The sequence below is a fragment of the Homo sapiens genome, chromosome 12 (genome assembly GCF_000001405.40).
Source record: "Homo sapiens chromosome 12, GRCh38.p14 Primary Assembly".
NCBI classification, from domain to species: Eukaryota; Metazoa; Chordata; class Mammalia; order Primates; family Hominidae; genus Homo; species Homo sapiens.
In genome coordinates, this window is record NC_000012.12 from 102,414,776 (window position 1) to 102,435,612 (window position 20,837).

The 20,837-nt window shown below is 39.5% G+C and overlaps 1 protein-coding gene and 1 long non-coding RNA gene across 11 annotated transcripts in view, besides 2 other annotated features; one reads left to right on the forward strand and one right to left on the reverse strand.

Moving 5' to 3' along the window:
* LINC02456 (long intergenic non-protein coding RNA 2456) overlaps nucleotides 1–20,837 on the forward strand; it is a 432,422-nt gene that overhangs the window by 135,202 nt on the left and 276,383 nt on the right. The window contains exon 10 of the long non-coding RNA XR_007063427.1: nucleotides 8,296–8,405. This is a non-coding gene — a long non-coding RNA (long intergenic non-protein coding RNA 2456). The remainder of the gene's footprint in view (nucleotides 1–8,295; nucleotides 8,406–20,837) is intronic.
* The window catches only part of IGF1 (insulin like growth factor 1), an 85,966-nt gene that overhangs the window by 18,902 nt on the left and 46,227 nt on the right, over nucleotides 1–20,837 (reverse strand). For 4 of the 10 annotated variants that reach the window (XM_017019259.2, NM_001414005.1, NM_001111285.3 and 1 more), the window contains 2 exons: nucleotides 4,734–4,915; nucleotides 2,716–3,228 (listed from right to left, as the gene is read on the reverse strand). In XM_017019259.2, coding sequence (XP_016874748.1) covers nucleotides 3,043–3,228; nucleotides 4,734–4,915 — 368 coding nt within the window. In that variant the 3' untranslated portion in view covers nucleotides 2,716–3,042. Of the gene's footprint in view, nucleotides 1–2,715; nucleotides 3,229–4,733; nucleotides 4,916–20,837 lie in introns of those variants that run through there. The other 6 variants (XM_017019263.3, NM_001414007.1, NM_000618.5 and 3 more) reach the window with 2 other exon arrangements.
* Nucleotides 4,994–5,163: an enhancer, noted in NCBI's record as "experimental_23056 CRE fragment used in MPRA reporter constructs". NCBI's record gives its function as "activates a minimal promoter by MPRAs in K562 erythroleukemia cells, with activity observed for both the introgressed and non-introgressed 12:102813632 variant alleles {active_cell/tissue: K562}" and the evidence as "EXISTENCE:reporter gene assay evidence [ECO:0000049][PMID:34662402]".
* Nucleotides 6,347–7,546: an enhancer, noted in NCBI's record as "P300/CBP strongly-dependent group 1 enhancer chr12:102814900-102816099 (GRCh37/hg19 assembly coordinates)". NCBI's record gives its function as "activates an origin of replication core promoter dependent on BRD2, BRD4, P300/CBP, MED14 and CDK7 cofactors, with strong dependence on P300/CBP, by STARR-seq in HCT116 cells {active_cell/tissue: HCT116}" and the evidence as "EXISTENCE:reporter gene assay evidence [ECO:0000049][PMID:35650434]".

The window sequence follows — 20,837 nt, forward strand, 5'->3', positions numbered from 1 at the left end:
GTACAGAGGTTTGCACATTGTAGATGCCCAATAACAAATACTTTTCACCAATTTTATTTCAGGATGATTATTCCATACATATTCCAATTAGTTTTACACACAATTATCAATTTGCCCTAGGAAACAATTGAAGTTGAAACACTGGAATTTTAAATGATTATTAATATTCTGCTTACTTCAAAGAAACATTAAGGGGAGTAATAGGTGTATAATATTCACTATGAAATTCTTAGCCAGTTGCCACCTGTAGCAATAGGTCCTTGAACAATTTCAATTTGGCCAGCGAAGGAAATTCCAAACATACAATACTTGTATAAGCATAGCTCCTATGCCTTTCCTTTTTTACTCTGTACTTGCCTCACTGTCTTGTGTAGGAGAATAGGAATCATTTCATCTCAGAAGTGCCACTTGTTTTTATGGTGTGTCTTTCTACCACTATTCATCAGCCTATGTTACTCATTTGTCCATCCAACCATCCATTCATCCATCCATCCATCCATCCATCCATCCATCCATCCATCCATCCATCCAACATTATATGCCATGTATCACTAGAGGCTTGGGTATTGATACTGGAAAGAAGGAAATGGAAAGATAATATAGATTCTTTCTGTTTTCTTGGTTCATATTATTCAGTAATCACATGTAGGCATTCAAGATAATTGCTTTAGAGTTGATAAAACTCATTCCGAAAAGAACTGTCTTATAGTACATAGTTTGCTAGTTAAGCATTCTTTAACTAGAAAGTCTTTTTGTTCTTCCTTCCCTTTCCTTCCTTCCTTCCTTCCTTCCTTCCTTCCTTCCTTCCTTCCTTCCTTCCTTCCCTCCCTCCCTCCCTCCTTCCTTCCTTCTTCTCTCTGTCTTTGCCTTTGCTTTAGTTCTTCTTGAATGAAATTTATGATTGGGTATAATTATAGTTTATTCAAACCTTTCCACAGGACATGAATTCTTAGTTATTCCATGGAACTGTGGTCCTTTGAAGAGCCATCTGTGTCTATATGCTACTCTAAGGTGATGGTTGTAGTAGGAATTGGCTTCTGTCTGCAGCTGGTCCCAAAGCATGGATGTCTTAGCTGGAGAACTTAGTATCTCCTGAATAAGGTGACTGGCCACTTGGGCTAAGGCACGAGCCTGGCTTCTCTCTGCTCTGATAAGCCAGGATCCACTTTGCAACCACAGCAGCAGTGGCTTGGCTCCCATGTGGGGCTTTGGCATGCTTTCAGTTCGACCTTTTCCTCCTGGATTGAGCCGTGAACATGTCCATCATATTTAAGTAATCCTGGGTTTTCAGTGAACCACTAGAAAGGGTGATCCTGGAGTAAAAAGCATGGCAGAGGCATGGAGGACCAGGCAGAAAGGAGGTTCCTTTATACCATGACATCTTCAAAATAGACTACTTGGATGAAATGCTTCACTTCTGGGTTAGTCATATTCTTACCCCAAAATGTCACCATTTGTTTGGTAGAGAACTTCCGTCTTGTACCCTTTCTCAGCTCTTCTAATTCACAACTTGGAGGATGGCGAGAGTTTTTGCTTTATTATCTATGAAGACCCCAATCCTACTGATTAAACCAAGGGATCTGAAGGAGAAGATCTCTAAAATCTGAATTCTGTGATTCTATTTAACTTTTCTTCACCCTCAGGGAAATCCAGCACTTTTGCTCTCATTCTCTCCCTTCATTTCTGCCCTCTCTTTTCCTTCTGGAATTCTTTCTTAGTTGACCCACTTTGATTATGTGCTGTTGTCTCCTGGCCAAAAGAAGAGCAGCTTAGAACCCAAGCACATCTTTACCCACTTCTGGATCTCAGTGTCCTAGTCTTCAAAATAAGGGGATTTCTGAGGCTTCTTCCAGATCTAACATAGTATGTTCCTGGGGTTCTCATGGAGCAGAAACTCAGGGTTTCAGATATAAAAATAGATCTGTGGTGGGGTGGTGGAGGGGAGTGTTTTCTAGGAGCTGTAATCAAAATGCAGTGGTTATCATCAGAGATCAGAAGTCTTCTGTCACTGGCTGAATTGTGTCCAAATTCATGTGTTGAAGCCCTAACTCCCAGTACGTCAAAATATGACTGTATTTGGAGACAGAGTCTTTACAGAGATAATTAAGTTAAAATGAGGTCAGTGGGGTGGGCCCAAATCCAACCTGGCTGGTGTTGTTTCACACAGAGGATGTTTAGACACAGAGATATGTATGGAGGGAAGATGAAGTGAAGACACAGGGGGAGAAGAAGGAGGCCACCTACAAGCCGAGGGGAGGAGCCCATGACAGAGCCTTCTCTAAGGCCCTTGCAAGGGCTGATACTTTGATTTTGGACTTTCAACTCCCAGAACTATGAAAAAATCAATTTCTGTGGTTTAAACTACCTAGCCTATGATACTTTGTTATGGCAGCCCTAGCAAACTTATACATCTTTTATATCTGATTCCAAAGTGCAAAAAAGATGAAGAGTGCAGTGACCTCTTCTCAAAAGTTACCTCACAGACCTCACAGGGTTTTAGGCAATACCGGATGCCCTTTGGCCTAAACCCTGGACTTGACTAAGAAATGCAGCCTCCAATGACATTGCGGGAAAAGGGAATCTGGGAACTTCTATGACACAATTCAGTCTTGCTGAGCATTTGGGGCTAATATTTAACTCTGAACATATATTGACATAGGCAATTCTTCCATAACAGATTCATACAAAATTTAAAAATGCATATAGAAGCCTTAATTTTTATTTAAATTCTTTTATTTAATTGTGTTTTAGAGGCAGAGAATAGTGTGTCTTTTTTTGCCTCTTTTATAATTTTTATTTTTTTTTTTCATTTTTGCCACTGTCTTTCTTTGCGCTTTCTAGGGCATTACATTTTTCTTTTCCGTTTTCTCCATGTTTCTTAGCGAGATTCTCTAAAAGGTTACTTCTATTTCCATCACATCATCATCTAGCTCCAGCAGGCCTACTTTTCTTCATTTCCTCTATTGTATTTTCTGCTTTTCATTCTTGCTGTCTGCTCCTCTCTCATCATCCTTGCCTCTGTCTGTTTAATCCTCCTGTCCTTCATTTTCCTTTTTTGCCTCTGCATTCAGCATTTCTACTTCCAATCTCCCTCCTCTGCTCTTTCTTCTTTCCTCTGATCTGCAGACTTGCTTCTGTCCCCTCCTTCTGTTCCCCTCCTGGATGTGTCTTTGGCCAACCTTTCCTTCTCTGAGACTTCGTGTTCTTGTTGGTAGATGGGGGCTGATACTGTAAACATCACAAAAATAATTGCATTGAGAACAAGTGGTTCCCATGGTGTCCCTTTGAATGAGCTCAGAATGCCCAGGCTCCATATGATGCAGGAGACAGCACTCATGCTGGAGAGGGGTCTAGACCTCAGTCACAAGACCCACCATTCCAGAACTTTGGGACTCATCTCTTGACACCTACCCCCTCCCCAGTTAGAAACCAAGAGGCGCTGGGTCACCTGGGAAGAGAAAGAATGAATCTGCCTTTGCCCCAGCAAGCACGCTTTCCTGCCACATTCACCTAAAAGTCTTTTCTGAGATCCTTGCTTCCTGCCTGGCCAGTGGCTACTGTGTTCTGTGTGTGTTGGGTCTTGCCCAGTCCCCTTCCATCCTTCAGAGGGGCTCCCTGGGGTCACATCTCCAATAAGCCACCATGGTCCTCTTCCAGCCTCAGCTGAGGTTTAAGACCAGGAAGCAGCGAAGGTGTCATGGTGAACTTCTTGATCTCTCATCTTGTGCTTTTGCACAATATTATTAGTTCTAGCTCCAAAGATTAAAACCACATGTTGGCATTTCTTTTTTCAACAGAGTCCCCAAAATACTTAAACGAGAGCTATTTCTTCCCTTACTCAACTTCCTTGCCTTCTCTTTTTCCTCCTTTACCTTCTCTTTAGTTCTTATTCTTTCTACTTAATGGCTAAAATTTTAATCTCTTATATTCATTTGTTCATTCGTTCACTCATTCAAGAGAAATCGATCAAGTGACTAAATGTGCATCAGATGTTTTATGTACTACTGATGGCATAGTTGGTACCTCTGAGGTTTGTTTACAGTCTAGCTCTTAGAAAATGATGCCTGCAGATTTTGATCATTACAAATGTCTAGGCATTCTTATAGCCAAACAGAAATTTCTATTTTTAATGTTTCATGTTTAATTATGCTTGCTACTGAATATGAATTTTGAATAGTTCCCATTAGCCTTTTATTTTCTTTGGAAGATTGTAGAATCTCAGAACTTGAAAGGTTACAAGCTTTGTTATTAAGTGCAATTATGGCAGACATTAACGATGGTCCAACAATTACTTTATGCAGGCATGTGAAAAGCATCTCAAAGTATATGCATGAGCTACTTAATTTTGACAACAAACTGATGTGGTAGATATTATTATTATCCCAATGTTACTGATGAAACTGAGGCTTGGGTACATCACATTATTTGCCAAGGGCTCTAAGCTGGTGTGTGAGAAAGCCAGGACTTCACTTTTGTCTGACACCAAAGCCCATGTTTGTTTAGCCACTGTTTTGTAACATCTTCCAATCATCACATCGTCCATAGCGGTGGGAGGGGAAATTTGCAATGCAGAGTGACCAAAGAGATGGGGATGTAATCCATCCCTTTGGTGCAAAGGAGCTTTTCTGACTTGTAAGCCAGGAGACTATGGGGCAGGATTTCTGCTTGGCCCACCCACATGCACAAGAGAGAGACCACTTGAGGATGGCTGGATCCCACCCAGGTGGGCTTACCTTCTGGGTCTTGGGCATGTCGGTGTGGCGCTGGGCACGGACAGAGCGAGCTGACTTGGCAGGCTTGAGGGGTGCGCAATACATCTCCAGCCTCCTTAGATCACAGCTCCGGAAGCAGCACTCATCCACGATGCCTGTCTGAGGCGCCCTCCGACTGCTGGAGCCATACCCTGTGGGCTTGTCTGCACAAATCAAACAGAGTGGCCTCATGTTAGGGTGCAATCTGCTTTCTTCAGTCTTCCACCCAGCTCCTGCCTCTCCCCACAGCTAGTCAACCTACATATTCTGCAATGTCTCAACCTCTTCTTGAAACTTCCCCAATGATTCCTGACCCCACGTATCTTTCTGAATGCCAGTATGTCTCCCGGAGTCTGTACCACACTCATTAGCACTAACTCATTCACCATGCTATTTGTGGTAACTCTCCCCAAGTTTTGCAACCTGTAGGCAAGGATCTTGTCTATGCCCAATCCTAGTCTTTTCTTATATATTGGCTTCAGAGGATGATAGAAATATTAAAATAAGATCATGCATTGTTTTCTTAATCTTGTTGGCAACGCTGCATTGCTTTTATAAGCAGGACAGCTCACATGTTTGCCTTTTTGTTTAACTGCTTTGACTATATAGTCAGGTTGAACATCAAAGAGTTTTTAAGTTTGGAAAGGGCTCCTCATTTTACTAATGTGAAAACTGAGACTCAGAGGTGGCAAAGACTTGCTGAAGGTCATTCATGCAGTAAGTCGTGGAGTCAAGATGCAAACTCAGATCTACTTGCTGCAAAGCCCAAGTGCCTCATTGAGGAGCCCAGGAGAACTGTTGTATGACTCTGGAAAAGTCACTAAGCTCTCTGGGCCTCAGTTTTCCCATTTATGTAATGGAGTTAATAATATCTTCCTTGTAAGAATTGTTTGAGGATTAAATGAAATCAAGTATGAATAATGCATAGCACAGCACCTGACATATAGTGTAAGTCGTAAGTAAATCATAGCCAGCTTTCTGCGAGTACCGTTTCCAGGATCCTATGTGGTTTGTGAAGAAGCATTGTCACTATTGACCGTGTACAGAAGTCTTGGGACTTGAAACTAATTACAATACCAATCTAGTAGGGCTCCCTCTCTTACCACCCCAAGAGGCCAGAACAATGAATTCTATTTCTTATTGAGTAACTGCCAAACTGAAACAGTGAACGAAATGTCCATCTTTCATGTGATTCTGTTCTAGCTCAGGCAAGGGCAGAGGGACAGAAACTTGCTTTCTCTTCTCCTCCCTTATCTCTCCTGGTCTTCTCCACGGATGCTCAGGCTTTATGGAAGAAATTTTATAAATCACGGGCACAGAAGAATCCAATTTATTAATCTGACATGTATTCAATCTTAATTCCTGACAGAAGAAAACATTACGTTTTAAATCACAAGTCTATGTTTCTGTAATAATGACACCATTACTTGAGGATAGGGTTTGGAAAGTCAGAATCCTCATGTATTTTGCACTCCCTCATTGGGGGAGATCAGGCCCATGGTAATGGCCTGCTACCAAACCAGTTTGGCTGCCTCCCTGCTGGAAGGGCCAGCATTCATGGCAACCTCTAAGAACCCAAATGCTTTCCTGATGCTTGGCACAGGACCCTGGTGGCTGCTTCCTTCTGTAAGGCAGGTTTATTGTCATTCTTAGGGCAGCTGGAGGTAGTAACTCAGTGAGGGTTCATTTGTGGTCTTTCTGGGCAGAGTCTGCTGTGCAGATCTCGAAGCAGACCCTGTGGACTCCCAATGGCTGTGGCATTTGGGAGGGACTGGGACCTGGCAAGCCATGTCTCAGCGGGTCCCCTGAGCAATGTAAACAATATTTTTTTGTTTTTTTGTTTTTATAATCTTTTCCTGGAACTATAAATTAGAGGAAAGACACAAATGGGCTTACACTGTCCTTTGTAATCCACAAAGGACTTCTACGTACTTTTTGCTAAGTGGCTAGCCAGTAAAGCACAGCTGATACCCTTTGGCTTCTCTCTTGTGGGTGGGGAGGAAGGAAAAGGTGACTTGGCCTATTTTGTGATCATTGTATCTTTTGCCCATTACAGGTAATGATTGCCCTTTGTTGAAACTATAAATTTCCTAATGGGATGTAATTGGGATTCATTTGTTGATTATGAAATGGTAACTTGATGTTTGGGGGTGGGCTGGTAGGAAGAGCTCCAGAAACTTTCAAAGTTAGCCAACTCAGAAACAACTGATTTCAAAATTCATGGTTAGCCTTTGAAGATAGACAAGGGCAGGCTTTGGGATTCCAGGACCTATTTAGTATTTCCCTTTCAAGCTCCTCTAACTTAATTCTGCTTCTGAGGTCCCACAGGTGCTGGAGCTCCTTGTCTGCTATAAGAGGAAGACATTAACCTTCATCTTGGGATGGCAGAGAGAGTTTCTATGATTGTATATTCACTTCTTGGTGACTGTAAACAACCATGAAACTCACCACATGTCGATTTCCTCTTGTAAAATAGAAAGTCATCATCATCACAGCAAAAAAAATAACAGGAAATACCAGGCATCTGGTTTATCACCTTGCTTAAATGAGCTCAGAATTTGACATGACTCAGTCAAACTCTAAGCTCATCTAAACTCTGAGCTCATGCTTTTTAGTCTGTAGATCGATGGGTTTAGGTACAGAGAATTTTAGGACTTTTCTGCAATGTTCCATAGAGAAAGTTTATCTTATGTCTACATTTGTTTTTTTAAAAAATATTGTTGAAATAGTGGTATACAGACTTCGATTTTGCCATAAATATAATTACCAATTATCTCTAGCTACCACAATCCTAGAGAGATGTTTTTCTTTGTCTACTCATAATGTCTACAATGGACTCATTGTACGTCATTGGGAATATATGAATATAACAAGTGTTTACCTATTGCCTTTTGAAGTTTAATTCATCTTTTGAAGTGCCCTGTAAGCTTGATTTCTTCTGGCTCTACATCAAAATATTTAACAAACAAAAAACTCATTTCTCGCCAATTGAAAGATCACAGTTGAGGGTCAAAGTTTTGTTCCATATCTTCAAATGCTACATATTGTTTATTTTTCCAGAACCACAATAAAGATATTTGCTGCTATGGTCTACAGGTAGAGGCCTGATACAATGTAATTTATTAGAAAGCTAATAAAACAATTGGCTTCAGTATTTGACATTTTCCTATTTGAGATAGTTATTTTTAATGACTTCTAAATTATAACTATTGTCATTTCGACTAATTTTTAAATGAGATGGAACTAATTGTTTTATCTTTGCCTTGAGAAACTCTTCATTAGGTGCTGTATAATTCTGTCCCAGTGGGCAGAATCAGAGCTGGTAGGTGAATGAAAAACAAATATTGGCTTAATATAAGAAAAGCATTCCTAACAATTTGAATTTACAAGTGTTACATATGGGACAGATTTCAATGAAAAGTAATGAACTCCCCATTGCAGGAAACAGTTAAGTAAAGGCTGTAATAAACATCTGTCAGAGATCCTAGCAGAAGATTCCTATGTTGAACACAGTGGATGACTGCTATGGTCTTTTCTATTCCAGACATTCTATAACAAGTGAAGAGATGAAGGAGAAAACTGGCTTGGGCCCAATATTCAGTATGGTTGGAAACCACTTCAAGGAAGAGGTGCAAATATATTCTAACTTAGAAGGTGAAAAGTTGTTTTCTATCTATTTGAAGTTCCCCAAGATGCTCTAAACACTTTTTAATTGTCCTTACTCGATGCTACGAAAAAAAAAAAAAAAAAAAAAAAAAAAAAGACCGGTGCCTGGTATAGTCCCTTCTACAGCAAGGTGTGGTCCAACAGTTCTGTTGTACTGGCATGAGGAAGTGTTCATGCACTTACTCAACTGTTAGAATGAATAGGCATGTATAACATTCCACATAATTTTTCTTGCTGACAAAGTCTTGACATTAAAAATTTATATATTTATTTTGTCAGTTTTGCTTCAAAGGTTTCATAGCATGTAGACCAAAGATTGCTTACCAGACAAGTTGGCCACCACCTATCCTAGACTTTGACTCCTCCATGACTAGACATAATGTTTAGTCACAATGTACTGCTGTATCTTAAAAGTTGGCCAACAGACAGAATTCCAATGGTTAAACAGCTGGCTTCTATAATAACAGCACTTCCCTTTAAATAATGCATGGTCGGGGAGTAATTCAATAATCTTCAGGGCAAACTTGCTAGTTACAAGGGTTTTGGGCAGAACTGTGGCATCATCAAAACCACACCAATTAGCTGAGTCTCACATTTTGTAATGGATGCAAGCAACTCGCTCCCCTCCATCTCTGAAGGGAAATGTGTAATGCTGAGATTTAACCGGGGTCATCACTTCTAGAACAAAGGACTCTGGTTGTTCATCACTGGCAAAAATGGTACTACCTCCTCTACTGATGCTGCATAAGTTTGTGTTTCTTATAGATTTCTGGGAATGCAGTTGGAACAATGCATTCAGCTTTAATTTCCTTTGAAACTTCCCATCTTGCTTCTTGAGAAAGTTTTATTTTAACTATTTCAACTCTATCATTGGAAAGGGAAGACATTGATTTGAAGAGTCAGTATTTAAATAATAAAAAAACGCAAACGTTTTCAAGTTGGGAAGCAACTAGTTCTTAAGATATACATTTGTTATTCTTTGAGTTCTAAGGAATAAAACTATTCTTTAGAAATTTGCTAACAGGAAGAGGTTCCAAAGTTGATCCCTTTTTTTTTTTTTTTGAAAGGAGGAAAAAAGAGGTAAGACAATTAACCTGGATTTTAAGGGCTATTTCTAGAAAATGTTCAATTATATGTCTGATAAAAAACACAAATGAAATTATTAGCTAATAAAAATGAACCTGCATTTCACTTAGATTAACTAAGGATTGATTACACAACCAAATATTACAGTTAAGATCTGAAGAATCTGGAAACTTAGGTTTTTCACACCAGTTATTTATTTCAGAACTCCAGACACATTGCCAATTTAGAATAACTTGGAACGGTTAGTTTTTTAGGGCAAGATTTTCTCCCTGGGCCGCCTTATTTAATATAAATTCATTTGGTTTGCATTATTTTGCATGAGATACTAGTAGGAAAATTGTATAAGATATGAATAATCTTAAAGTAGTCTTCATTTTAGCATTTTAATTACTATTTTCATTTGTGGAAAAGGGAGAATCACCTCCCAATATTTCCTACATCTCTGATGGCTTTATAAGGAAGACTTGAGTCCTTTCATAAATTTCTAATATAAGGAAAATTGTGATTATATTATTACCAAGACCCCAATGTAATACATTGAATGGTTGATATTTCCAGAATTCATAGGATTTGCATTTACTTGAAAACCTTTTGAGAGTCAATATTTTGCCTTTAAATTTTTGTCTATTGAAATCACAACTTGAATTAAAGCAATTATTGAGTTATACATTGTCATGTGCTTAGTAAAGATATGGAAAGAAGCTTTTACTACTGTCAACTGGCCACATCTTTTTATGTTTAGAATAACATGAGTATGTACACACATATACTCAAACACATATTAGGGAATTAAGTGAATTACTGTAGTACCAAAGCTGCTGTAAAACATTTTGAAATTAGGATTTTTAAAAAAGATTTTCTAATATATCTATTGCCTGCCTTATACTTTGCTAGGAGACCCTGTACATTTCTGCTTTTCTGTGGAAGGATCTTTCCAAGTAAGATTGACCTTTGGCATCTTAAAAGTGAACACTGAGAAAATGTTCTCTTTTCTATGAACTGCATGTCATAAACTTTTCTTGAAAACCTATCAAATTTAGGCATCGATTTCACTTTTGGCCTGTGTTAATTTTTAATTGCCAGTGTTTGCTGGTCTCACTACCTCTCAATTGGACAAGGTCATCTTTTTCTAGGAATTATGGCCCTCTACGACCTGCCCCCACCCTCACTACTCAGCAACTCTTTCTCAGCTACTAAATCCCCATAACCCAAAAGACCAAAGTCTTCCGTTACCCAATCAAGTCAATGTTTTTGTTTCTCTGAGTCTAAAAGGAATGAAGCAGAGTTCTATGGGGCTGCCCCTTTGTTGAAAGCCTCCTTTCTTTTGGAAGCCCAAGTCAAGAGCAGGTGTGAAAAGAATGCTATTCAGCTCACCTTGGTTTCCAAGGCCAGGAAGCTAAAGTGCAAGTCCTAGGGGCGATAACAGCAAGAGATTCAAAGCAGAAACATTACTGTTTTAGGACTCTTTGGAGAAATGGGCAGACAGAGTGGGAAGCAACATGATGTATTACTTTAGCCTGATACAATGCCCTGGAGGATGAGTGTCTTGCCAGGACAGCACAATTTACTAGCTTAGGTCTGATTCCAGGGCTTGGAGGAGATAGATGTAGCCAACAAAATTATACTTTGGCAAGAGAAATGCTTTGCTGGACAGAAAAATATTGTCCTAAGGGAATGGTTTGGTTTATCAACGTCTAAGGTGAAAGATAATCAAATGCCAAGAGGTCATTTTTATGTTTGAATTATTTCAGTGGGGCCTGCTATATAAGTTAGCTACCATTTTCTAGTTATATTGTTTGTATTATTTAGAACATATTACAGAATTTGAGTATGATCTGCCTGTGACATCTGTCATACCAATGACAGAAGCAATATGTGAAGTGGCTAAAAGCACAAGTTTTGGAACCAGACAGTCTGGATTCTACTGTTTCTTTACTGTTAAGCTTTCATTTGGCAAAGGACTCAACCTTCTAAGATTCAGGTCCTCATATGTAAAAAGGATATATAAGAGTACCTCCCAGGACTGGCATGAAGATTAAGTGAGAATGTATGCAAAGTGTTTTGCACAATGGCTGGTATATGGTAAACTATATAAATGTTGACAATTATTATTATGGTGTTGAATTGGTTAACATAGCTAGTTGGGCAGGTATCCTCTTCCTCCATTAATCTTAAAAATGCATCCTTTCCAAAGTTTGGTCGAAGCAGATGGCCTTTCTAGATATTGTTATTCACTAAAGTAAATGAAAGGCTGTTCTCTTGAAAGAATGTCCAAACTTTATGTTGTATAGACTGGTCTGAATAGTTTTAATCTAGAATAGACACTATGAGAATGAATCTTTCAATCAAGTCAAATAAGGCGTATGGGCTTATCTTGACCCCTTGTTACCTTTGATTTGTCCCAAATAATCCACTGGTTAAAATCATTGGCTTTTTGGTATTAATATCAATGCTTCTTATTTCAAAACAATGCTGCAAGGCCTGGGATGAGTGTGGTGAAATACATGGTCAGAAATGGTTTCCCAATCACTTTCACCCAGCATAGTATTTCTCTCATCTCTCTCTACTTCATGTCTCATCTCATTCTGTTCTCTTCTTTTCCTATTTCCTTTCCTCTTCTGCTACTGACAGCCTTTGACATTCTTTTTATTCACTGATGTACTTTTGAGCAAGGCTTATGCCACTGTGGAGTTTACGGTAGGCTAGGTATTAGCATTTCATTTCCTCCCTGGAATGACTGAAAACCAGGGCTCCCTCTCCTGCCAGCCATGCTTTGGGAATAAGCAGTTACCCAGTATACAGTGTCACCAGGCCGCTTAATCACTACTCCATCTTGGACCCATGCCTGAATAAGATGAAAACTGCCAGAGAAAGAATAAGAAGGGATGTTGAGGAATCGCATACGTGGGCCTTAGCTGTCTCATTTTTTTTTCTTTTTTTTAGAAAGACTGACACAACTGTAAGCTGAGACTGGCTCCAGCTTGGAGATTGTAGCTATGCCACCAGCATTATCTCCTGTACTTACACTCTTATTGTTATTTTACTCTTTCAGATGTGGGAAGAGAGGCCTTGTAACAAAACATAAGGCATTCGTGAGTCGAGGGTAACGCCCTCTTTCTGGTGCCACAGAAAGATGAATCAGCCAAAGGGATATTAAAACACATTCTCTTTATTTTTAGTTTCTCTCTAAAGTCTTTCATTTCTTTTTTTCTTTGTAACTTGGCACCTGCCCTCTGTTCTCAGGGGCCCTGCACCCCATTAGTCTCCTCACTCAGGGACCTGTTTTTTGCTCAGGGCACATCTGGACCTTGTCCCAGGGGTGGGAGTGACATGGCCAGGATGGCAGGTGAAGGGGTGGCGGCTGCCAGGGCAGTCTGGCGTGTCTGGAGGGAGAGTGTTGGGAGGTGGACGCTCCTTAAAGAGAGGCATCCGGGCCTGCATCAGGGAGTAAACTGTTGGAAGACAGCCTCTACAGCAGCAGAAACAGCTCTTGGCACTGTCGCAGAGAAGGGAGCAGCCAGAGTCAGCGACAGATTGAACACAGGAGAGAGGGAAGGAGGGAGGGCGAGTGGGAGGAGATGGTTTGGTGTTACATGATATAAATAACTGCATGGTGCAGACTTGAGTGCCAGTTGGGTTGTGTGTGATGTCCCTTTCATGCTGGTGTATCAACAGTGTTGTTCTTGGATTGAGAGGTCCTGGGGAATGTTTCTATAGCACCTAGCACAGTGCCATATGCAGAGAGGGAATAAAAACAAGGCAATATGGTATATTGAAAACAACATTGGATTACAGCCCCAAATCCTCTGTGTGGATGCACAAGTCACCCAAATTCTCTGAGATTCAGTTTCTCATGTAAACAACCAAATGTGCTAGATAATATCAAGCACCCCTTCTAAAAAGATGACCCTAAATATCCAGATGGTCATGAACGACCCACTTTGTAATCAATAATGTGTATATATATATATGGCATATTAATGTTTCTAGCTAATAATAGGGGAGTATAGTAGTGAAGAGAAGTTTGATGAGAAAACCAAGAGTTTTCTCTTTTTTAGATTTAATTTTGGATGTAAACAAGATGTATAAGCTGAATTTAAGGAAAGCAGGGATCAGTGTTGAGTCTGATGAAGGAAAATGTCTAATTTGGAGTTGGGCTTGATTAGGGGAAGGAGACAAGCCCATCCATATGGATTGCAGAAGCCAGCTCAAGGTAGGGCACAAAGAGCCCTTTAGAGAGTCATTTGAAGCAGGTGATAGAATCAAACTACATTTTGAAAACCGGAGTCCTAAGGAAAGAGAGATGGCCCTCACTTCTGTGGGCACTCAGAAATGAGAATTAGTATGAGAAGAGTCTTTCTAATAATCCTTGGGCATGGCCTTTTACTTTTATTCTTCACAAAGCCGCATCTTCATAAGGTAAACAAATGACTCTTTCGGCCCCAGGAGGACTGTTAATATTGTTGACAAGATTGCTTTATTTCCTAGTGTTTAACATAGGCCAATGTTTTCTTTCACTAATTTCCTTGGTGTCTGTCAATGCTACATGAGTTCTCTGTGTGATATTCACTTATTTTCAGGTGGACAGATGCATAGTTTCCTTGGAAATGTCTAGCCGTAACTACATGTTATCTCTGATAGTATGAATGGGCTTCCAGACAGGACATCATCTATGCCATTGGTACCCAACATCTGCCCAGAATATAAAATCAGAAGATAAAGATTAAACATAGTTTTTCAAATGCCATCCTCTTTTTTTGGTAAAATAAATTACTGCTAAGTTCAGTAAAATTTAAAAGTCTATACGAAGAGTGCTCAAGCATGTTGTGGTATTATATTATTTTTTTTCAAAATACCAAGCAAGTATGCAGACTGAGGCTGAATGGTTCATTTAGGGTGTGATAACATTATTTCAGGAATTTCAGATAAAATCTGGACTCATCAGACCATTATTTCTTTTCTTTCTGCAGGATTTTGCTGCTATTATTTCTTTCCCTTTTATTCTTAATATATTATTGCTTAAACATGACCATGAAACTGTAAATGCCTTCCTTAAATTATTGTATTTTAGAATGCCATATATCTTTGGATATTGCAGCAAACTCAAGGTCAACTGAAGAGGTTTCTTAGTAATCTTCTGGCCTTCACTGAGCCTGTTTTTTAGCCATTGCACTCCTCCCAATCCCCTCCCCCATGAAAACTATTTTTCTGAATTGAAGAAATGAACTATGAATAAGGAAAAAGAAAAAGAGAGGTGTGGTTTAAGTTACAGTTTGTCTCCAAGCTAAATCATGTTCTCATCTTTATTTCATCTGGGACCAACATCATGCCCAGATTCCCAAACCTCCTTAAATGCTTTTTAACAAATGTAATTATCCATCGAGAAAAATCTCTGATTTATTTTACTGAATTCAGCAAAGAAAAATATTCTCAGCTTATGATATTGGCAGGAGAAATCATACCCTTTCTTATTTTTCTTTTTTCTTACATACTCAAACATGCTGTGAATGGCCACATCACTCTGCTTTGGGATCCACTCTGAGGCAATGGCCTTTTGGCCTTCTGGCCAACCGCTCACTTCTGTGAATTTCCTTTCTGAGAACTAGAGACTGTTGCCCCAGAAGTCATTTTCCAATTTATCACAGGACCTATCCATGGTTACAGAATTAGTTGGCCTCCTTGAGAATACGCAATGTGAGACCTAATGTGACACACAGCTGGGGAAGCTCCTTTGGTGCAGGGACACTGGGCCAGGATAACTGCTTGTGGGCCATTTTATTTCCCTGGACACTTGCCTTCTGTCTGCTCTCTTTGTCTCACATCTGGGTTTGAGAAAGCTGTGTGGAGGCATCACTTATGCCAATACTTAGGCATAAGTAGCTCTGCTCTGCTCAAGCAGAAGTGAGGGCCTAAGTTCAGGATTTAAACATTCCTTTCTGATACACAGTCTTTCAACAGGGCAGCCTCCATTCTCTCTTCTCAGCCTTCCAGCCAAGTACCTGCTACTTTGTAACCCCAATGGGAAGCCTCTTCCCTTTGGGAAAAAGGAGAATATCAAAATCCACTGACCTCCTGCTGGGTATGGTCTTTGTAATCTCCACTATGTTAACTGGATGCCTGTTTATATAAAAGCTACATTTAGTAACCTTTAGGCTGACGAATGAAATGACCCTCAAGGTATTGTAGCAGCTTCCATATGATAAGGATAGAAGGAAAGAAGTGAAGCTTTTGACTCTGAGTAGTAGGAGTTCTGATGAGAGAATGTAGACAGAGCTACACACATCCTCTTAACTGAACTGTAAGTTCAAGCCATTGAAGATGACTTAAAAAAAAGAATTTTAGTAAAAAGCAGGCTGCTGGTTCAGGAATATTTTAATCTACTTCTAAAGACTTGCTAATTTATTTTTCTTCTCAAACGACTTGTTCATCTTCTCCTCTTCATCTCTCTTCCTTGCTCTGGGTCAGGAAGACACTCTGGTAAAGGTCAGTTATGAAGTCCTAGCCTCCTCATGTCTTCTCATCGAGCCAGTGCTCCCACGGTCCACTGAGATCTGCCTTTGGCAGTCATTTCCCTCAGTTGGACTCTGAGCCATCACAAATTCTTTGCATTTTTCAGAACATCTGTGCCTTCTTTTGCCACATCTTTTTTCTTGGTGCTCAACAGGTCACAAATCAGCCTGTACTTCTCTTTCCAGGCTGTTGATGTCTTAATACTCTCTTTTCAAACCAAATTCCTCTCTTGTGTCTGGCTGTGGCTCTTAGCTCCCCAGCCTTCTCATCTCCCCCATCTGGGTTAGTCATCTGTGGCATCACCAAGGGGTCTCTTTCTCTTAGCCTTCTATCTGGCCTGAACTTCTGCATTTCTCTGAATGTCAGAATAACTACACATACCACACTACTAGGCTTGAAGCTTAGTTAAGTTCTCTAACGTGATTTAAACACAGTGCAGAAAACACTTCCATGGAAGCGTGAACGCTTGAAAAGACTCAAACTTAGAGGATACTAATTAGCTACTGAGAGAGAAGGCACTATAACAAGACCCAAAGATATAATCAAATGAAGTTGAAAACTATTCCATTAAACACAAGTTTCTCCTTGACATTTAGAAAAATCAGGGCGTTTGCAATAATACACTACCAATAGCTTCCCTTTATTGAGTGCTTCCTACTAAGCTACTATAGTAAATATTACTTTTCTTGTCTTATTTACACATGTGCAGTATCTACATGGAGGCAGCATTATTACTACATCCATTTTACATTTTAGAAAGCTGAGGCTTAGCAAGGTTAAGTACCTTGACCTAAATCATACATCTAGTAAGCTGCAAAGCCAGGTCACCTTACTCGGGAACACCTTGAAAGTGAGAGAATTCCCTGGTGATGAAGAACTCTGAAGTTGATACCTTTACTGGGATTCTTGTGGGCACATGATGCTAATATCAATGAAGAATATGGGTGAAGGCATCTAAATGGACCCACTAACCCCAGGATTTGAGTACATGGAGTTGCACAGAGTTTTATCCTAGGTATTCTAGAGAATGCCAGAAGGAATGCCATGCATGGCTTTTTCCCTTGAGAGAGAAGTCTGTGCACTTCCGCAGTTTAGGACATAGCTCTTGCATGCTCACATCTTACCCAGTGCATTGTGACCCTTTCAGTTTCAGATGGGGCAGTCAGCCTTGTTTCATAGCCTGCCAAGACCCTTGAATTGCATAAAGTTATAACAACTTTAGCAGACACTGAAATAGAGAAGTTTTTACCCATAATCTTGATATCCCAGCAAATCACTTTATCTTCATTTTTCAAAATTGTTTCTGTTTCTCATCCAGATACATACATTATTTTGGCATAGCTACAGCCATAACCTAAATTTAATGCAGTACTGTATTTTTTCCCACTTAACATGACATTGTAAGCGTTTCCCATATTGCTATATAGTTTTCATAATTATAATTTTAAAACTGCAGAATATTTTACTGAGTAGATATGCCATCATTTGTTGCTGTAACCATTTTCCTATTACTAGGCATTTAGGCTATTTCTAGTTTTATCATCATTTTAACTAATGCAGCAATAAATGTCTTTGTACACATAACATTCTACTACTCATAGATCATTTATAAGAATAAATTCCAAGGAATGGAATTACTGAGTCAAAGGGTATTATCAGACAATCCTATTTTGATGAAAGCCCACAATTTTGCATAAGGACCAGAGGAATTTAATCAACAAAGCAGAGAATTATATCCAGATTTTCTCCCGGGATTAGAAAAGAGACAGCCAAGGTGGAGCACAGACAGGGATCTTACCTGTGTCCTGTGAGTTAGAATAAATGAACCAATTTCTGTTTTCAATTACTAGTGCAGTTTCCTTTGAAGGAAACATGGGGCGTAACCAAGACTTGAGTTTGGCATCCAAAGGTTTTCTAAGTAGAAGTAAAACCAAGGAAAATGAAATTGATGACAAGGGACTCTGGTCTCTCAACTTTGAAAATCACCAAGTACTTGTATACATATGTAACTAACCTGCACGTTGTGCACATGTACCCTAAAACTTAAAGTATAATAAAAATACATACATACATACATACATACATACATAAATACATAAACAAATAAATAAAAATAAAAAACTTAAAAAGAAAATCACCAAGTACGTATGAGGTTTCTTCTCTGGGGTAGGGAGAGAGGTTCAACACACAGCTGCCAAGACAGCACCACACTTCAGTGTATGGGAGTGGGAGAGTTTGCATCCTAAATAACAAAGGCTCTGCTCCTGTGCTCCTTCTGAACTCAGGTCCTCTCTGGAGAACCTGGCTCCTCCCTAATCTGGTGTCTCTCCACCTTTGTTTGGGTCATGATATCCCTGACAATCTGCCTTCTCATCCAATCCAAAATTTGGCTGAACACTCCTGTCCTTCTTTCACCACATTATTATTCTCCTTTTTATAAACATTTGGTCACATGTAAACTTGAGCACCTACTGAATTGTAGACGCTATTCTCAGTACCAGGGATAAGAAGTTAACAACACAGAAAAAAACAGGATAACAGGTCACTATCTCCTTATAATCAGGGTAACTGTAACAAACTTAAAGGAAACTGCAATGCAGGGATGCTGAACTCAACAGTTCAAGGATAATTGCTCAGAGAAATTGTTGAAGTCTCAGTCTAGCAACACAAAATTTCTTCAGGCCCCCATGAGAATTCTTGTGTGATGACCTCATTCCCATTAACCTTCTAAATATGGAAAATGATTACTTTATGTATCATAAACAAGCTCTTAACTGTATATTAGCCTTTTTTTTCTGTTTTGTGAAGACTGGCCTATTCTTTCCTATTTGATTTTGAGCATCTCGAGGGCAGACACTGTCATCTCATCCTTCTGTGTTTAGAAGCACTACACTGGGCATTTGGACACTTCACAAATGCTCACTGATTGGTGGATTGACAAGTTGGGTGCACAAACGGTACAAAGAGAGAAGCAATAGAAGAAATTTGTACTTTGGAAAGAAGAAACCTAACACCAGGGCCAGTCTCAAGTCTCCATTTCCTTTCTTGTTAAAAGAGGATGATCATCATTTCCCTCTACAGGGTTTTTGTGAGTTAAGGCACAAAGAGAGCTTGAGACAGCTTGTGGCACAGAGCAAGCACTCCCAGAATGTCATCTCACCCCACCCTCCTTAGCATCATTATGAAGAACTGATTGTGACGTTGTGTGGTGAAGTGCTTAGAACACAGGCTCTGGAGGAGATTGCCTGGGTTCAGATGCTGGCTAAACCATTTCTTTTTTTACTTGAAAAACAAATTTTTTGATTTCACTTGTTTCATCATTTGAGTTCAGAGGGCATTTCAAAAGTACAGTCATCTCTTTTTTTTTTTTTTTATTATACTTTAAGTTTTAGGGTACATGTGCACATTGTGCAGGTTAGTTACATATGTATACATGTGCCATGCTGGTGCGCTGCACCCACTAACTCGTCATCTAGCATTAGGTATATCTCCCAATGCTATCCCTCCCCCCTCCCCCCACCCCACAACAGTCCCCAGAGTGTGATGTTCCCCTTCCTGTGACCATGTGATCTCATTGTTCAATTCCCACCTATGAATGAGAACATGCGGTGTTTGGTTTTCTGTCCCTGCGATAGTTTACTGAGAATGATGGTTTCCAATTTCATCCATGTCCCTACAAAGGACATGAACTCATCATTTTTTATGGCTGCATAGTATTCCATGGTGTATATGTGCCACATTTTCTTAATCCAGTCTATCATTGTTGGACATTTGGGTTGGTTCCAAGTCTTTGCTATTGTGAATAATGCCGCAATAAACATACGTGTGCATGTGTCTTTATAGCAGCATGATTTATAATCATTTGGGTATATAAGTAATGGGATGGCTGGGTCAAATGGTATTTCTAGTTCTAGATCCCTGAGGAATCGCCACACTGACTTCCACAATGGTTGAACTAGTTTACAGTCCCACCAACAGTGTAAAAGTGTTCCTATTTCTCCACATCCTCTCCAGCACCTGTTGTTTCCTGACTTTTTAATGATTGCCATTCTAACTGGTGTGAGATGGTATCTCATAGTGGTTTTGATTTGCATTTCTCTGATGGCCAGTGATGATGAGCATTTTTTCATGTATTTTTTGGCTGCATAAATGTCTTCTCTGTATTTGCAGGTTTCATGTCCACAACCATGGATAGAAAATATTTGAACGAAAATTAAAAATAACAATATAACAATTAAAAATAATACACATTTTTAAAATACAGTATAACAGGTGTTTACATAGAATTTACATTATATTAGATGTTATAAGTGATCCAGAGATGATTTTAAAGTGCACAAGAAAAGTGCATAGGTTACATGCAAGTATTAATACCATGCCATTTTAAAGAAGAGCCTTGAGCATACCATTTCTAACTATGTGATGTGAGGAAGCTCCTTAACCTCTCAGGTTGCATCCAAAAAGAGGCACATACTCACCTCACAAGGTGCTTGTGATGCATGCATGAGTGAACACTTACCCAATATTAGTTAAAATTACTCAGCAAAGACTCAGTGAATGGCCATTATCTGCCTGGGCTTGGTGCTCAGAATATAGAAGAGGACACAGGATACGCAGGTTACACAGTCTCCCCACATCCCCCAGCATGCCTGTGGTCCATAATGTGTATTGGCATCATCAATCCATATAGCTAATTCCAGAGAGTGCCTGGCAGTTCAAAAATCATTTTCACATACCTTTTGTGCATCAGCCATTTCAACAACCTTATGGTGCCAATGGAATTATTCTCACTTTTATAAATGAAAAAACTGAGAGTTTAAGTGG